This window comes from Homo sapiens, chromosome 5 (genome assembly GCF_000001405.40).
Source record: "Homo sapiens chromosome 5, GRCh38.p14 Primary Assembly".
NCBI lineage: Eukaryota > Metazoa > Chordata > Mammalia > Primates > Hominidae > Homo > Homo sapiens.
Window position 1 is genome coordinate 133,835,086 of NC_000005.10, and position 19,605 is coordinate 133,854,690.

Below are 19,605 nucleotides of genomic sequence, written 5' to 3' on the forward strand. Positions count from 1 at the left end.
GATCAGTACCCTCCTCCTACACACACACAAAGACAGCAACCTCCATGGTCTTCTATAACTTTCCCATGATTCTATATCATCACTGCATGGATGAACAGGCTGCCTTGAAGAGGCAGGCGGGAACATTGGGAGCCCAGCACACTTAAGACTAGGGACACACTTTTGATTCTTGCTACTGACTCTCAAGGGTCCCGATTCTGATAGTCTGTCTTTCCACTTTTGGGCATCTCACAGCCAATACCCATCAGCCCATGTGTGTTCTGTGTGTGAGCCTCAATTTGCTGACTGATATAAAATATTAGGCAGTAAGAAGAACATGGTTCTGGAAGAGCACCAAAATGGACGTTTGGCATTCTTTAAAGTTCTTACCTGTTCCTGAAATTTGTTCAGGTAGTTAGACACCCAGGAAGCAGGGCACTTACTATGTAACACTTGGATGTAGCAGTATACTTGATCTGTATCATATGAACCAGGAAGATCTCTCTTAGTGAGTAATCTCTACTTATATATACTACAGAAATCTCCATGAGCACATAAGACCACAGGTAAAGCAAGCTCTAAGAAAATGCCTGCCCTGCTATTATTTTCCAGTGATACTTGTTTTTATTTATTTTGTCATCTGCTAGTGCTAACTTCAAATAAAAGGTATCAGGACCCAGATATTTAAGAAAAAAATATATGGGAGAAAAAGTTGGGAAAACTCTATTAACTTGAAAAGAAAATTTCCTACCGTGATTATAAATAAGTCTATTTCTCCTTTTGAGTCTAACAATTTTTGCTTTCTATATTATGAAGCTATGTTATTAGGTGCCTATAAATTTGGATTTGTTATAGATTCCTAGTATGTTGACACTTTATCATCATGAAATGATTATTTTTATCTCTGGTAATGATTCTTGCCTCTATACATTGTGCCTCCGATTAATATTTGCATAGTAAATACACAGTAAAAGTTACTTTTTCTCCTTTTACTTTCAATCTTTTTGAATTATCACATATAAAAATATGTCTCTAAGAAACATAGTTGAGTTTTGTTTTTATCTAGTCTAACAATCTTCATCCTGTAATTAGTCTATTTACATTCAATGTAATTACTGATATATTTGAGTTTATAATCTTACTGTTTAATTTCCAGTTGTCCTGTCTGTTTTATGTTTCTTTTTCTTACCTCTTTTGGATCAAGTATTTTCACTATCTCATTTTTCTTCACTCTTAGCTAGTTAGTTATACATCGTTTTACAAATCTTATAGTGCATACCCTATATTGAGTGCATTCTTGACTTGTTAAAGCCTAAAGTAAATTAGTATTTTGTACTACTTCTTGGACAAATTTAAAATTTTAATTTCATTTGTCCCAAACCCACTGCCATTTGTACATTGTTGTGTATTTTAATTGTATATTTTTAACCCTAGAAGACATAGTCAGATTTTTACCCATACATATATGCACACATGTATGTGTGTGGATGTATTTATACTTTTTGTTGCTCTTCATTCATTCCTCAATTTCCATGTTTCCATCTGGGATCAACATCCTTCTGTCTTCAGATGTTCCTTTTTTTTTTTAGGGTGGATATAATAATTTCTCACAATTTTTGTCTAAAAATGTGTCTCCGAAGTTTTTCACTGGATATAGAATTCTGTGTTGGAGATTATTTTGTTTCACCATGGTTCTGATATGTGATATTTCAGTGCCTTCAAGCTTCCGCTGTTCCTTGGAAGTCAGTGTCACGCTCACTGTTGCTCTTAGAAGGAAATTTGTCCTTTTTTCCTCTGAATTTTATAAGATTTCCTCTTGTTCCTTGATTTTCAGTCGTTTTATCGTGATGTGTCTAGGTGTATTCCTTTTAATTTTTTCTATGTGGGGGTTCATAGTGCTTCTTGAATGTGTGGCTTGATGTTTTAGTCAGTTTGGGGAAATTCTTGTCCCTTATCTTTTCAAATATGGCTTCTACCCCTCCCTAAGACTCCAGTTACGCATGTTAGACCATTTTACCACCTCACATATTTCTCTTAAGCTCTTTCCTGTATTTCCTATCATTTTTTTTCTGTCTTTTAAACTGGAAGTTTTCTACTGATCCTTCTTGCAGTTCACTAATCTGCTCCTCCACTGCATCTAATATGCCATTAAATCCCTCTATTGAAGTCTCAGTTATTGATTTCTCAATTCTCAAATTTCTATTTGATTATATAGTTTCCAATTCTCCACAGAAGTCTCAATGTTGTTGCTCAAATTCTTGAACATATTAACCACAGTCATTTTAAAGCTCATGATGGATAACTCCAATTTCCAGGCTTCCTGTAAGTCTATTCTCCTACAGGCATTCTCTCTTGGTTTTCAGTCAATTATTGTCTTTGTGCACACCTAGTTATTTCTTTACTGGATTCCAGATACTGTAGAGATAATGTGAGTTTCTGGATGATGTGGCCTCATTCAAGAGAGGGTTCATGTTTGTTTCTGGTGGCAGTTAGAGTAGGAAGAGATGACCTTAATCCAGTAAATAACTGAGCTGATTTAATGATGGCCTTTGTGAGAGCTGGCTTATTTCAAGGTCAACTTTACTCTTATAAATTTCAACTCAAAGTTGGGGAGGTGTTTACCAGGACTTCCTATCTGGTAGAACCACAATTTTCCCCTGAAGTCCCATGAAAAATGCCAAAAGCTATGATCAACATCTCAGGCATTTCGAGCCACTTTCTGCTCAGCCTCTCAGCAGCTGCATTCACGTCAGCAAATTTGGGGTAAAAGTAGCACCAAGTATATGGCTCTCCCCTTGGGATTTCCTTTCTTTATTTTTATTTTATATATATATATATTTTAGGACAGAGTCTTGCTCTGTCACCCAGGCTGGAGTGCAATGGCACAATCTCGGCTCACTGCAGCCTCTGTCTCCCAGGTTCAAGAGATTCTCCTGCCTCAACCTCCCCAGTTGCTGGGATTACAGGCACCTGCCACCACACCCAGCTAATTTTTGCATTTTTAGTAAAGACAGGATTTCACCATGTTGGCAAAGCTGGTCTGGAACTCCTGACATCAGGAGATCCACCCCACTCAGCCTCCCAAAGTGCCTGGATTACAGGTATGAGCCACCGTGCCCAGCCAAGATTTTTCTTCTTCCAAGAATCTTGGCCCTTTGAGCCAAGCTCTTGTCACCTTGATAGCTTTCCGAAGACTTCAACTCATTTTTTATTTAATTTTGTAGAGTTGTATTCCAATTACTATGGCAGCAAAACAAATTCCCCTAAAACTTAGTGGCTTAAAACAAAGTCAATCATTTATTATCTCCCACAGTTACTGTAGTCAGGAATTCAGGAGCAGCTCAACTGGACAATTTTGGCTTGGGGCCTCCCGTGAGTTTCCAGTCAGATGCTGGCTGAGCTGGACGATTCTGGTTTGGGGTCTCCCATGAGGTTGCAATCAGATGCTGGCTTTGGCTGGGCTCATCTCAAAGGCTGCTTCACTCGCATGTCTGGTACCCAGTCTGGAAAGACTCAAATTGCTAAAAACTGGGCTCCTCCAGTGTCTCTAACTATCTTTATGTACTCTCTCCCTGTAACTTGCTACCACATGGAAGCTTCAGATTAGTTGGACTTTTACAAATTGGCTCAGGGCTACCAAAAGCATGTATCCCAGGGGAGAAAAGGAAAGGCAGGAGGTAATTTCTATGGCATAGTGTTGAAAGTCACACAGCTTCACTTCTACTGCATTCTGCTGGTCGTGACAATTACAAAGGCCTATCTGTGTTGAAGGGAAGAAACATAAAAGCCACCTCTCAGTGCAGGTGAGTCAATGTCTCCCTGTAAGGAGACATCACACGCATGGGCACACAGCATGGGCGAGCTAGTGATGTGGCCATCTGGAAAATACAACTGCCACAATGGCTCCAGTTGTCCTTGATAGGAGGTTGGTCTCAAACAAGTCAGTCTGCCATTTCCAGGAGTAGAAAATCCCCTCTCCGATAACTCGGAGTTTTCTGTCACTGAGAAAAGACTGCCGTGACTGTGTTCTAATGGAGATACCTCTGTGTTGGAGCCCTTGTGTCAGCTCAGCTGAACCCATCTTCTCAGAGACCCAGTGAGAGCTTTGGCACCATTTCAGCAAAGCTTAGGCAGACATGGCCTGAGTCTCCTGCTGCCCCACTCAGACTCACTCCCAAGGCTGGTTTCTAGAAGCCCAATAAAGAAAATCCACACCGCTCCTCATGGTCCACTCTACCTTTGCTTTATTCCTGCAGATGAGTACTGCACAAAGAATATTCTGTAAAAACGCTGTTTGTACAAGATAAGAATTCTGTTACAATTTCTTTTCAGAGAATGTAACATATTCTTTCCCCCTCTTCCAGATTCATAATGCATATTAGCGTAAAGCCTCTGAAAAGTCCTGTAGCAAGAAAACTTTGTTTCATCCCCATTTTCATGAATTTATTTAATGACAGAAAGTGGGTTGAGGGGCTATCTTTTTATTAGCAGGACAGAAATTAACACCCCATGAACATTGTACAGAACATGCAAACATTGTACAGAGCATCCTTAGACTTCTGATCCCACCATTGCTCTTGCGGGACTGTGGAGCTAAGTTGTTCATAATAAAACATTGTGTCTCAAATTGCCTTATGGGAGCTAAGTCATGGCTGAGCGCCCCTTTGCTGAGTGGTATGCTTTTTTGGGTGTTCCAAAGCAAAGATGGGCCATGTACCATTTTCCAAATTAGGCTGATGAATGCATCAACCTTTTCCACCTGCCAGTAACACAACAAGAAGTTTTTAAAAGGCTTTTGTTTACTGTCTGCCAATACACACGGGGCCATTAGCCAGTTGGCAGGTCTTGTGTGAGCTTCATTTCTGCCAGCTACAGTGAGCTGCCCACTCCTTAGCTGACAGCCTCGATCAATGCCCCTTCAATGCTAAAGGGCTGCAGGGGTGAGAGGTGGGGGAGAGCAAGTTGGTTTGATGAGAGAGTAAGAAACAAGGAGAAAGGGACAAAACCTTCCTTCTACCCTTCACATTACAGAGTCCTCCCACTCAAAGCCTCATTACAGGCATTGCTGCCTGTCTGTTCTACCAATCTTTTGATAATTTAGTTGTGCTTCCAGTTGAGAGCTGTGTTGTTTAATAAAACAGAGACAATCGACTCTTCCTCAGTGTTGTAATAGCCTCTCTGTGTGTTTACTTGAGAACAAATGCTGTTATAATTTCTTTGGGGAATCAATATCTTCCAGTGCATATGCACAGCCCTATTGGAGGTTCAGATTGTGTAAGGAGAGAAGGGGAAATTTATTGCCTTGTAAATGCTGGCAGAAGGTAGTAGGTTTAGTGAGAGCTGTAATTAAAGTTTTGCTGATAATAAAAAATGGAGGCAATAAACACTCCGATTTTCCAGTCCTCAGTCTCAGAATGGCTGAACCATCACAGGGTCCTGGACTCTTGCTGGTCTCTGCACAATTAACCTCTGAAGGTAAAGGTCCCAGGGCCCAAAGGCTGCCAGCTCCTGGGCCCTTGAGATGCCCTCCATGTGCTCACAGGCCCATCTGCTTTCTTCAACTTTAGCAGCAGCAAAGTCAACCTTTATTTTACCAACTGATTCTAAAGCTGGCTATTCAAGCCAGAGCTACCAGGCTAAAAGTCTACACAGGATTTGAGAATGAGGAGTTCAACCTGGAGGCAAGCACCCGTACTCCAAAAAGAACTGAAGTATAAGAGGAGATAAATCACTCGCTTGTCAATCTTTCTGCAGGGGGACCCCTCTCCAGGAATTCATTCAAGTCTTCCAAAATAGCACACAAAGATTTTCCAAAGGTGATTGCTTGTTTCTCTGCTAAGCACTTGCTGTGCAGGTTTGTGTGTGCTCCAGGTTTGATGGAGGCAGAGGAACTGCATGGTTGGGAAGGGGATGGAGACCTCCTCATGCCCACAAGGCGGCAATGTCTACAAGGTACCACTGACACCTTGCCACTGGCTAAGGACATCTGCATTGTCTTTTCCAACTGGGATGAAATCACAGTCACCTCTCTCCCTGCAATTCCTGGCTGTGTCCACAACAGTATCAGACTATGGAAGAAGGAGGCAATTTCTCTGACCCACTGGGATGGGGGCATCTTCAAGGCTTCTTTGGCCCTGGGTATCAAAGTAAGATCAACTGGCCTGGGAAAATCAGAAACTATCCTCACTCACCAGCCCCACTACCACCATCACCCCTAGGTTAAGTTCCCAAAGGGGAAGAACTTGTCTATAATCTCTGTAGCCATCCAGACAATAAATACCTACTGAGCACCTACTATTTGCCATGCACGGTATCACCGCACCCAGCACCAAACTCTTGCAGAAAGAACAAACAAGTGAGCAAATTGGCCTCCATATCCACCAGGAGGTTCCTCTGAGAATACAGGAGCCCGAGTTCTTCTAGAAATAATAAGATGCTCCATATTGACCACCTACTATGTACCAGATGGCCTACACAGCCCTTTACACATGTCCATTCTCTCTTTTGGTCCTTACAACCACTCCCCACTGTGAGGTAGAGATGGTGGTTGTTGTTGACAGTAGAGGACGGTAAGGCTCAGAGGGGCAAGCCATGTGCCCAGAGCCAACGCCACCCAACACACAGCACAGGGCCAGCAGGGAAGGCCCCAGCTGATGATGCTCCAAAGCCTGCATTCTTTCCATTATGCCATGTTCCCTGTCAACAATGTCACATGAGCCCCTCACCTGCCATCACTTGTCTTCTCCTCGCAGGGTCTGCTGAGAGAGGAGGTGGAAGGTGCAAAAAGAATTTCACTCCTGAGTCCTTGAGAGAGCTCAGCAGAAAAAGGGCTAAGCAGGGCTGCCAAGCAGCACCACGGGGAAGCAGCAAAGGGGTCTAGGGCTTACCTGTCCACAGGAGGCAGGCCTGGCTGGGACCACTGGCTGCCGGCATTTCTGGATTCTGTGCCTTTCTCTCCTGTCTCATCTTCCACCTTCCTTCCCTCCTCTAAAACGTTCAGAGGACTAAGAGCCTGCAGGGAATCTCAGTCCAGTCCCCTTGCCAGCCCAAACACCTCCCACTGGGTGGCCCTTAGCCCTGGGTCTCGTCCAGCCAGTGCCAAGCATACGCAGCCCCTTTCCAAGGCCGGGCACATGTGGTGCAAAACCAGCTAGGCACCAGACATAACAAGGTACTGGTGAGGTGCAGAGGCTGGCTGTCCCCAGAACACAAGACCCTCCCGGTGTGCAGCCCTCTCCTGGGCAGCTTCCCTTAGAGAAACAAAGCTCCCAGCAGCAAGTTCCAAGTCCAGGATGGTCCTGCACCAATTCCGATGCTGTCCCTGCAATCCCTTTCTTCAGATGCCTAGCACTTGCACAAACTTCAAGTTGCTCATCTCCAAATGGGTGAGGGACTCACTCTGTCATATCAGCTTCCCTGGATCTGCCCGCAGGGAGCAGCAGGCCCAAGGGAGAGTCTGGAGAAAGTGTCCACATTTGCAACTCTCCAACTCTGTGACTTCTCCAAGGTACCCAATGGCCCCACATGAGAGCTCCAGAGCTCAGGCTGCGGTGGGGACCCTAGGCCGCTGATTAGCCAATAACATCACCAGCAGGCATTAAATCTATCCTCAGTTAACCCAATGTCTTTAATAATAAAGAAGATTTTGCACTGGGGATAAATACTGTGTCTCATTTTCTCACTCTCACTGGTCTCCTGTCACTGTGCGCTTATTAATACAATCACTAACATATGGCTCCCAATCAGCCACTAAAATGCTGCTGTTATTCCTACTAATTCGACAATAAAATATGGCTGTGCCAGGCCATAAAAAGTAGGCTGCCATGTGACTGGGGGCTCTGTGGGAGGTAAGCCAGGGGGCCCAGAGCTCTAGACTGGCCACCGGGAACTGAGCCACCATGGCCACGGCCCTGCAGGCCCTGACTTCCAAGGGCCCAGACACCACCAGAAACTCAGAGGTGTTCCCTGCTATATTTCCATTACTGTATAACAAATTACCACAAACAGCAGCTTAAAACAACACCCATTAATCGTCTCACCGTTCTGTAGGTCAGAAGTCCAGGCGTGACTAAATTCTCTGCTCACAGGCTCACCAGGCTGAAGTCAAAGTGTCAGCTGGGCCACATTCGCAGTGGGAGGCTTGACGAGGGCGGAATCCACTTCCAGGTGCATCTCATTCAGGCTCTTGGCAGATTTCTATTCCTTGCAGCTGTAGGACTGAGGTCTCTGCTTTCTTGCTGGTTGTCAGCCGGGGCTCACTCTCTGCTCCTAGAGGCTGTCTCAGGTCCTAGCCCCCCACCCCTCCACAATATGGTAGCTTCCTTCTGCAAAGCCAGTGGGAGAGTCTCTTCAGTCTTAAACTGCATAATCTAATCAGGGCTGGGGGCGGGTGATATCCCATCCTATCCACAGTCCCACCACACTCAGGGGGAGGGGCATTCTGCAGGCCATGTATACCAGAGGTGGGAATCTTGGAATCCTGCCATCTCAGAATCCTGCCCACCACACACGGTATTAAGATCTTCCACTTGCCTGTCTTTGTGTGTAGGCAGCCTTTCTGCTGACAACTGGACCTTGGTTCTAATCTCACTCCCCTTCCCCCACACACCAGAGAAGAATCCTACAGCATCTGGCAGCTCTTCTCCCAGGCCAAGCCTCCACCACTGGCCAAACAGAGAAGAAAGCAGTGGGCTCAGGTAATGTGATGTGCAAGGGATGGACGGAGGGGCTCAGGAGCAGCCCCACCCTAGGCTGCACAGCATGGAATAGGTATTTGCAAAAGCATTCTCTTCACCAAGTAGCAATAATTCACTTCCAATCCAAAGAAGGCCCTTCCTCAGACCTTCTTACGGCTTCTCCTAAAAAAATCTCCTCTCTGTAAAGCTCCCAACTACTGAGGCAAAGCAAATCCCATTACGCCCCAGGTTATTTCCTCACCCTGGTTCTGAGCACCCAGATTCCTGGGCCCCACCCCCAGATCAGTGGACCCAGAGAAATAGGATCTGCCTTTGTAAAGCTCTCAGCCAGAGCTGCTGCCCAGGAGCTCTGAGGGAGAAGCAGGCCTGGGGCCCTGCCCTGATCCAGCTGCTTTCAATGAGCTCTTCAAGCCCAGAGAGGAAACAAAAACAAACTGGCTTTTGATTTTAAGAATCAGGTTTATATGAAAATACACTCATCGTAATTAAAACACCATAACCCCAAATGATCCCTATAGCCTTCCAGATAATGTCCACCTTCTTCCGGCTCCCCACTCCCAGGCCTGCACAGGGGGCCCCTCACCCTGTCTCACTGGCCTTCTCTACTCCCCATTAGTCTTCCTGAGCCTTTACTCTTAGGGTCCCCTCAGCTGGGAACACTTTGGGAGGCCGAGGCAGGAGGATTGCTTGAGCCCAGGAGTTCGAGACCAGACTGGGCAACATGGTGAAACCCTGTCCTTAAAAAAAAAAAAAAAAATTACTTAGCTAGACATGGTGGTGCATGCCTGCAGTCCCAGCTACTCGGGAGGCTGAGGGTAGGAGGATCAGTTGGGACCTGGAGGTCGATGTTACAGTGAGCCATGATCATATCACTTACACTCGAGCCTGGGTGACAGAGTGAGACCCTGTCTCCAAAAAAAATAAATAAAGTCAGATTTTGCAAAATCTGAAAATGAGAGTCAGACTCTCGGCAGGTGGGGACCTCATCTCAAGCCCTTATCCCACCCCCTAAACTCAGGTGGCAGGGGACAAAGACTTGAGGCATGGCAACAGACTATGACTTTAGAATAAAGGCAGCCACAGCCATCGGCATGACTATGAGCTGCTGGGCATCAGTGCCTTTCTCCTGGCAGCAAACAACCCCCACGCCATAGCCTTGGGGCAAATCTCAGAGAACAGGCTGGGCAGAGGGCCCTAGCAGGGGAGTCAGCTTAGGTCGTGTCCTGGGGATAGCTACATGCGGCAGTCCTGCCGCCGTCCCCCTGTGTCTCCACACTTTCCCTGGCGTCTGGGACCTGGAGACTCAGAGAACATGTTTGCATCTGTCAAGCCCAACAAGTCATTAATTACACCTTGGGGAAAGTCACAGAGGCAGGGTGTGGATGGGCAAACACTGTTCAAACATGCTGAGGCAAACCTCGAGGTTGTGTTTGACACTGCTGGGGTTATTGTGGTAAGTCTCTGTTTTGGTTGACTACAAATCCCAAAACTTTCCAGTGTTCCTTTTGGAAGATCTTTGAATTGAAAGATTCAAGCCTATACTGCTCCTTCCTTCCCTGAGGGAGTTCCCTCAGTCACTGTGACCTCACCTATGGTCCTTGAGGCCTGAGGGGTCCTCCCCAAGGTCCCTCTCCTAGCCCCCAAGGTGAAAATTCCCCCCCAGAGCTAATGCCAGGGGGTTGGAGCAGGATTAAACTTTGTCACAGCCCTCGGCCTGCTGTTGCCCTGACTCAGGATTCTAGGAAGGACTTTTGGGCTAGGAGCCTTGTTTGGTTTGTTGGGTTTTAAGATGGAGTTTCACTCTTGTTGCCCAGGCTGGAGTGCAATGGCGGGATCTTGGCTCACTACAACCTCCACTTTCTGGGTTCAAGAGATTCTCCTGCCTCAGCCTCCCAAGTAGCTGGGATAACAGGTGCACGCCACCACGCCCGGCTTTTTGTATTTTTAGTAGAAATGGGGTTTCACCATGTTAGCCATGCTGGTCTCGAACTCCTGACCTCAGGTGACCCACCCGCCTCAGCCTCCCAAAGTGCAGGGATTACAGGCGTGAGCCACCGCGCCCAGCCAGGACTCTTGTTTTACAAGTGGGCTCAGGCCCACAGCAAGCAGGATCCTATCTAGCTTCAGCTGAGCTCTGAGTTTCTCGAACTGTAGAGTCATCTAGGAATCCTGTTAAAGTGCCAGTTTGGACTCAGCAGGTCTGGAGTAGCACCTGAAATTCAGCATTTCCCACATGCTCCCAGGTGACACCCATGCTGCTGGTTCACAGACCACACTTTGAGTAGGAAAGCTCAAAAGTAGCACTGCCCAGCAGAAATAGAAGCAGAGCCACATAAGTCATTTTAAAGTGTCTCCTAAACACATCAAAAAGTAATTGTCATAATGTATTTGATTTAACCCAATGTGTCTAAAAGAGTATTATGTCAACATATAATGAATATAAAAAATTACTTATGAGATAGCTTACATTCTTTTTTTGTACTAAGTCTTCAAACTGCAGGGTGGATTTTACCCTTACAGCACATGTCAGTCTGAACTAGCCACATTTCTGCACTTAGTGGCCACATGTGGCTAGTGGCTGCTCTTTTGGACAGTGCAACTCAAGGGGATGGGAGAAAAGGAAAAGAATATGAGAGGAAAGAAGAAAAATCAAGGAGGAGCCACTGGGTGACCCACCTTGGGACAATACAGAAAGAGCATAGCAATGAGTTCTAGATGCAGCCCTGCCTGTCATTCAGTGTATTGCCTAAAGAGAGTCAGGTAAACTCTGGACCTAGCCCTTTCCACCAAAAAATGGGTACAGCAATGCCTGCCCATCACTAGCCCCAAAATCTGGGCGAGACACTGTTCCCAGCTTATGGGGCTTGTCAATATTGGATTCTGCCAAGCAGAAACCTAGAGTCTCCAGGCAATTAATACCTGGCTCTCCAGGGTGGGGCCTGAGCCCTCCAGAGAGCTCCAACAGGAGAGTCTCTATGTTCACTGTTCAACAGAGCCTCCTGGGGAGGGGGGTGGGCAGGCTGGCAGGGGCTTTACCCCCACTCCAAAACTACCCTGAACAATCTGGCGCTATTTAGGAAGGGCACTTTGCTGTCACTGTGAATCGAGGAAACGCAGGCAGATAGAATTAGTGCTGCCCACCCATCTCACACTGTCAGAGGAGCTATTTTCAGGTCCTTGCTGCTGAGTTCATTTTCACATCCTTTGCTCTTTTCCTGTGTTTCAAGAGCTGAAGCACCAGAGAGGCCGGTCCCGATGGGTATTCTGGTCTGGCCACTTCCTGGATCTCTGAGGCCCAATAGGGATTTGGGGGAAGTGAACTTTGTAGAACTCAGGAGCAGGGTGGGGCACGAGGTTTGAACACCAGCCTACACTAGTGAAGCACTGAATGCCACATATAATCTTAGTTACCTACGCTTTACAGACATCAAACCTGTGGCAGGAGGAGGAAAAGGAGCAGGAGGAGAAAAGTAAAGCCAGGCTAGGTGACAACCTAACCCAGCAAATCCCTAAGCCAGGACCTGAGCTTTCCAATTCCTGGTCCTGTGATGCTGCTGCACCAGCGGATGCCAGGTGAGCCAACTGCCCACCTCTGGCTCCCCTTTGGGGCACCAATGGGCATAGTGCCTGGCCCAGCCTCCAGGGAGCCACACACACAGCTCAAGGGCCTGGTTCTCTGAGAGGGCAGTGAACCTCCCACCAATGGCCCAGACTTTTCCAGCCCCTGGTCAAGAGGCAGTCTTGTCTCAGTCATACTAACAGAGTCTGAGTCAGGGGTCCTCGGCGCCTGCCTGTCTCACGTTCCTGAAGGAGGTACCAGAAGTCCTCCAAACCTCAGCCAGGAACCAACCATCCCCAGGTACTGGACGGAGCTTTTAGGTTAAACAGAGGCAAAAAGAACCTGTGGACTCCTTCCGTACCAGCTGGAAAGGGAAGGTGGGTCTGATGGCCATGCCATCTCCCAGCAATACCCAGATAAGGGTCCCAGCAGGAGAGGTCGCTGGCCCCTACATCACCCTTGATATGAGGGCACTCACTCATCTCCCTTTGGGCCTTGAGGAAGTTAACAAAAATAATTAATTCCCTACCCTACCTGCTGGAACCACCTCTTGGTCAAGTTCTCCTTGCCCAGTGATACAATACATACTATTTGTTCCCAGGCTATTTCGTTCCCCAACTGGTCCAAGGGTCTGAGGGTAAGAAACACTCCCAGGCTCCCCTCCCCAGCCTAAGACAACTTCATCATGCCAGGCGGGCCCTGGTGCCAGCTGCCCCTTGCTGTCACCTCCACAGTCCTTTGAGCTCCATGGGTCTGGCCACATGTGTCCCCATATCTCATAGCATTCCTCTCAAGGTGCCGGGCCTGCACATGGCAGACCCGGAGCCCCATGCTTCTCTCCTGGAGGAGGAAAGTGCCAGTAGGGTGACCTCTGCTCATCCGTCAGAGTTCAATTTAGACATCACCTCTTCCAGGAGGCCCTCCCCAGCTGAACCAGGTACCTCTCCTCCAAGCTCCCACAGAACCCCATCCTTCCCCATTCCCAAGGGAAACTGGGAGGTAACCTGGCATCTTTGTTTGACCAGTGACTGGTATATGCAGTTGGTACTCCAAAAATTCTGGCTCACGGAAGGAGCATGCTTCTCAACAAATCCAGCCAACCACATGGCCCAGGGCACTGATACACACAAATACTCACAGACTCAGCAAACACACCCTCCGGAGCCATGACCGCAAATATCCTGCTGAGAGCGCCTTTGAAGTTCAGAGAAATGCTGGGCACAGTTCCTCAGGCCAAGATAGGGGCAGCTGGGTGAAAACAGGCCCCCTGCCAGTGCCACTGCCTACCCCCTTCCCCCACCCCAAGAAACCTACACAGCACTTTCTGGGGGAAAAGCAACCAACAAAGACAGCAGCTGCCTCCCTCAACAGCCAGACCCCCAGAGAGTTTAAATGGAAATAAAATAATCTCACTTCGTCACCCCAACCACAGATAGGCACAGTCAGGGGAGAACAGCCGGCTAACTGCTTCTTTGAAGAGGCGAAGACTCTTTTACCCAAAAGCTATTTGTCCTCCGTAAATGGGATTTTAGAAACAGTGCTGAAAGGGAGGCTATGGCCGCAAGAGCCTAAGCTTGTATTATACATTAGACAGATATTTAGAAATAAAGCTTGATTAAAAGGAAAGCCATAAATGACAGCGGAGAGCTCCAGACCCTCCGAGGCCTTCATGCAAATGTCTGGCTACTCTGTCCATCCCAGAAATCTGGGCCAAACTGTAACCATTTCTCTGATTTTTTAAAAACTGTTGTCTCCCCAGCTGCTTTGAGGGGCTGTGTTCTGTCCCTGGTGGTAGGCTCGGATCTGAGGAGGGGAGGGTCTGAACAGGGACCAAGCACTTGTGCCAGGGGGCCCCTTGGAGCCGCTGTCCCGCAGAGGTTGGTGTGCATGCTCAGACTCCCCTCCGCAGGCTCCCCTGAACATCGCCTGGTCCAGGAGGCCTCCCCTCGTCTGTCATCAGGCTAGGTCGGTGTCCTCTTTTCACAACACTCATCACACCCTGTGCCACCAGGCTGTGTGTGGCTTCCATGGGGTAGGGAACCCTGCCCTGCTCTGGGCAGTCTGTGAGATTAACTAAAGAATAGTGTGTCCCACACACACACACTAAGAGGCATGTCAGGAAGGAGGCCAAACCCCGGCCAGTAGACACCTGTGTAGTCAGCCTCACTTGGTCTTGTTAGTTACTGCTGTTATTATTATCAACATTCATCAGTGATGGCTGCAGTTCCAGTCTTTGGCTAATGCCTCCATTTATGCCTAGTGTTCCATTAGTGGAAAGCTAAGCATGTGGGAGTTATTTATATCTTACTGCTCAAGGTCATCACCAAGGTCTGATTTTTCAAATTCAAAAAATTACAACCTCAGGCATAAATGGGTTAATCACTGTTAAGACCCCCTTAGAACTATCATAGGCTAAAAACTCTTCTGAGTCTTCCCTTTTCAGAGAAAATGAGCTTACTTCCCGTTCTTTTTAACTGAAGTCCATACTTTATTCAGATTTTAGTAGTTTTTACCTGGTGTCCTTCTCTTGTTCCAGGGTCTTCTCCAGGATCCCAATTACCCTTAGTTGTCACATCTGCTTAGGCTCCTCTTGGCTGTGAGATTTTTCTCATACTTTGCTGGGTTTTGATGACCTCAACCGTATTGAAGGGTACTGGTTGGGTTTTTTATAGAATGACCCTCTATCAGAATTTGTCTGATGTTTTCCTCATCATTAAACTGGGTTTGTGGGTGGAAAACCACAGAGGTGAAGTGCCATTTTCATCATATCATACCTGGAGTACATACTACTAACATGGTTTATCATTGTTGATGTTTATATTGGTCAACTGGCTGAAGTAGTGTTTGTCAAATTTCTCTAGATCTTTTAATTGAAATCTTTCCCACCTCTCTAAACACCACATCAAAAATCACCTCCTCCTAGAAGTCACCCCAGATTGCATGTGCACACACAGGCACACATACTCTATTGGCTCCTCTCAGGACTTAGCACACCTCAAAGTATTTCAGATGTCTGTGAACTTTCCAACCTTATTTTGACTGCATGCTCTGTGAAGCAGTGACCTAATGCCCAGCAAGCATCTAGCCTACGATGAAAACTGACCACACATTTAGTGCTCACTGATAGTACCTCACAGGCACTATCTGGCTATAACCCAATGAGGGAAGAAGGTCTCTTGTTATTGCCATTTTACAGATGAAGAAGGATCTTGTACAGCAAGTAACCAGCAGAGCCAAGATCTGGCTGTGTGGCTGTGCGATCGGTTCCTTCTTGGCTCTGCTCCACTCCTTCCCCCGGGGGTAGGTAAGCACTGTCAGCTTATCCTCCACAGCTGGTTCAAGGACATGCTGCTGTAATGGAGGCAGAAATGTTTGGTGGGCTGAGAGTCTGGGGCCTCCAACAGCAGCACCAAGGATGTGAGGCTCTGTCCCACCCAGGCTCTGTCCCGCTCCCAGCCCTGGCAAGTATGGACCATGACACCAGCACACCCACATCCCTATAAATCCTCAAACAACCACAGCTTTTTTTTTTTTTAACGTCAGATGGGTAATATGCTGATGTCATAATGAGGTTTAAGGGAGGCACACCTCAAGTGAGTTTGAAAACTCAATCATCACACTTAGGAAACACAAAAGATCAAGCCTTACCAGTTTTGACATCCAGAGACGGGAGGCCGGGCTGTGCACTTGCTAACATGCTGTGTCAGCGAGAAGTCAAATGATGTACGTGGAACTGGAACATCTCCCATAAATTTTATTAAATTTTAAACTTTAATAAAACAATGACACAATTCAAATGCCAGCTCTGGACTTCCTCATCCCCACCACCTACCATCATGGGTTCCCCAAGAACCCTCCCACTGGCAGAGTCTTCAGAGTGTTCAAGGCTTTCCTGTGGTGTTGGCATTGGACTCTGGGACCTGGACCAGGGAACCAGAAGACAGGGGGCCTAGTGGGAGTCGATGGCCTCAGAAGACCCAGGTGGGCACACAGCTAGATATGACCCAGGCAACCAATACAAGAGGTTTCCAGTCTCCAAGATGGGAGAAAGAGAGAACGGGTATTGTCAGCTCTGATTAAGGATGAGGCTCTCTGTTGATTCCCCAGGGACCCAGATTTAACAGTGTAGTTAAGAGCTAGGACCCCAAGTTTCCTAGAGTCAGACAGATGGTAAATCGGGCTCCAGAACAATCGCCCACTTCTCTCCAACAGCTACAGCAGAAGAGCAAATCGTCCCTTCTGTGCCCCTTCTCCTCCATCTTCCTTCAGATTCAGATAAAAGGTAGGGAACAAAGTAATCAGCATCCACTCAGCCAGGATACTTCTCCAAGCTTCACTTCTCCAAATCATGCCACCACCACTCTGGCTCTGGTCTGGGGAGATGAGAGGACTGTCCACGTGTCCCCACATCAGCCCCCTTCAGCAAAAAAGGAAGTAAGGAGGTCTCTATTTCTGGGGGCAGGGCATAGCTGAACAAAAGGCAGCAGAAACTTCCAGACTGAAACATCCCTGTCTGACAAGCTCTGAAGAGAGCAGTGGTTCTCCCAGCATGGTGTTTGAACTCTGAGAAAGGACAGACTGTCTCCTCAAGTGGGTCCCTGACCCCTGTGTAGCCTAACTTGGAGACACCTCCCAGTAGAGGCTGACTAACACCTCATACAGCTGGGTGCCCCTCTGAGATGAAGCTTCCAGAAGAAAGATCAGGCAGCAATATTTGCTGTTCTGCAGCCTCCACTGGTGATACCCAGGCAAACAGGGTCTGGAGTGGACCTCCAGCAAACTCCAACAGACCTGCAGCTGAGGGACCTGACAGTTAGAAGGAAAACTAACAAACGGAAAGGAATAGCATCAACATCAACAAAAAGGACATCCACTCCAAAACCCCATCTGTAGGTCACCATCATCAAAGACCAAAGGTAGATAAGACCACAAAGATGGGGAGAAACCAGAGCAGAAAAGCTGAAAATTCTAAAAGCCAGAGTGCCCCTTCTCCTCCAAAGGATCGCAGCTCCTCCCCAGCAACAGAACAAAGCTGGATGGAGAATGACTTTGACGAGCTGACAGAAGTAGACTTCAGAAAGTCGGTAATAACAAACTTCTCCGAGCTAAAGGAGGATGTTTAAACCCATCGCAAGGAAGCTAAAAACCTCAAAACAAGATTAGACGAATGGCTAACTAGAATAAACAGTGTAGAGAAGACCTTAAATGACCTGATGGAGCTGAAAACCATGGCACGAGAACTACGTGACGCATGCACAAGCTTCAATAGCCGACTCAGTCAAGCGGAAGAAAGGGTATCAGTGATTGAAGATCAAATGAATGAAATGAAGTGAGAAGTTTAGAGAAAAAAGAGTAAAAAGAAACGAACAAAGCCTCCAAGAAATATGGGACTATGTGAAAAGACCAAATCTATGTTTGATTGGTGTACCTGAAAGTGACGGGGAGAATGAAACCAAGCTGGAAAACGCTCCTCAGGATATTATCCAGGAGAACTTCCCCTACTAGCAAGGCAGGCCAACATTCAAATTCAAGAAATACAGAGAACACCACATAGATACTCCTCAAGAAAAGCAACCCCAAGACACATAATTGTCAGATTCACCAAGGTTGAACTGAAGGAAAAAATGTTAAGGGCAGCCAGAGAGAAAGGTCGGGTTACCCACAAAGGGAAGCCCATCAGACCAACAGCAGATCTCTCGGCAGAAACTCTACAAGCCAGAAGAGAGTGGGGGCCAATATTCAACATTCTGAAAGAAAAGAATTTTCAACCTAGAATTTCATATCCAGCCAAACTAAACTTCATAAGTGAAAGAGAAATAAAATCCTTTCCAGACAAGCAAATGCTGAGAGATTTTGTCACCACCAGGCCTGCCTTACAAGAGCTCCTGAAGGAAGCACTAAACATGGAGAGGAACAACTGGTACCAGGCACTGCAAAAACATGCCAAATTGTAAAGACCATCAAGGCTAGGAAGAAACTGCATCAACTAACGAGCAAAATAACCAGCTAACATCATAATGACAGGATCAAATTCACACATAACAATATTAACCTTAAATGTAAACCTGGGCTAAATGCCCCAATTAAAAGACACAGACTGGCAAATTGGATAAAGAGTCAAGACCCATCCGTGTGCTGTATTCAGGAGACCCATCTCACATGCAGAGACACACATAGGCTCAAAATAAAGGGATGGAGGAAGATCTACCAAGCAAATGGAAAGCAAAAAAAAGCAGGGGTTGCAATCCTAGTCTCTCATAAAACAGACTTTAAACCAACAAAGATCAAAAGAGACAAAGAAGGCCATTACATAATGGTAAAGGAAGTAAGGGGGTCTCCTGCACAGGAAGGGCAGTGTGGTCCCCCAGTTCCCCCGTCACACAGCAACAGCCTCAAGGACCCTGCTTCCTCATCCCCAGCCCACTTCTTGCCATTTGCTGGATTGCATGCCTTCTAAAATCAGACTTCCTGCAGAAATGCTTTCAGAAAAACATTACAAAACAAACTGGTGACTGTGAGTACAACACTGAGCTTCCTAGCACCCTGCCCGACATGCCCCAGTCCCTCCACCACACACTCGTGATGAAACCCCTGGGAGGCCCCCATGGAAGTTCAGCCTACTTAGCTCAGCACCTTTCAAGCACCATTTCCAGCCATCATCACTTTTTTCCAGGCCAGAAATCTTGTTGAAAGGATGGAAGAAAAGAGAGAGATCTGCTAGCCTCGGAACTAATCCATTGTCATTCCAGCCAAGGGGCCCTCCATCAGCTTTGTAAAGCTTTCACTATGAAGCAGCTTCTAAGTCCAGGCAAACAAACCAGCCTATGGAATTCCATCAAGAACCCAGGAATCCTTGGAGTTGGCACTACAGACCCTCCCCGCTGGTGTTGGATTTCAAGGGCCTCCAGGATTGCTGACTCTCCCTGCTGCAGCCGCTGCCTCTCTCACTTCCACACCAAGCCCATTAGGTTTTCTTCAATTCTTAATGCCCTTCAAGGATAAACATGTTTCCTTAAAATGAAGAAATTTTTTCTCCCCCAAAGGGTGAGAATGTTTCACACTAGGGAGAAGAATAGGAGAAACAGTTCAATTAGGTTTAAGGCATACGCCCACAAAACCCACTCTGTTGTAATTGAAAGTAATGAAGTTTAATAAAAAACCAGCACAGCCCCTTCAGCATCAGATTAGATAGATGTCACTGAAACTCATTTGAGCGCTGTCTTTCAAGGTTCCTTCCGCAGGGCATTGCAATGAGCAAAAGCCAAGGAGAAGGAGGACAGGTTAATAGTTCTGACTCCCTTCTAATCAGTCTCAGCTGGGAGGGGATTCTGGGATTGGATGCCTGCTGCCTGCCAAAGCCCCTCGCCAAGG

At 46.8% G+C, this 19,605-nt stretch overlaps 1 protein-coding gene and 1 non-coding gene across 2 annotated transcripts in view; both read right to left on the bottom strand.

Annotated features, from left to right (window-relative positions):
• Positions 1-6,982, bottom strand: part of FSTL4 (follistatin like 4) — a 645,613-nt gene extending 638,631 nt beyond the window's left edge. Inside the window, exon 1 of the mRNA XM_011543283.2 lies at positions 6,867-6,982. The gene's annotated coding sequence lies outside the window, so the exon portion shown is untranslated. The remainder of the gene's footprint in view (positions 1-6,866) is intronic.
• An 8,789-nt stretch (positions 6,983-15,771) lies between these two features.
• On the bottom strand, positions 15,772-15,872 carry LOC124901210 (small nucleolar RNA U13). The gene has a single exon (XR_007059174.1). It is a non-coding gene; the product is annotated as a small nucleolar RNA U13 (small nucleolar RNA).
• Positions 15,873-19,605: the final 3,733 nt, after the last annotated feature.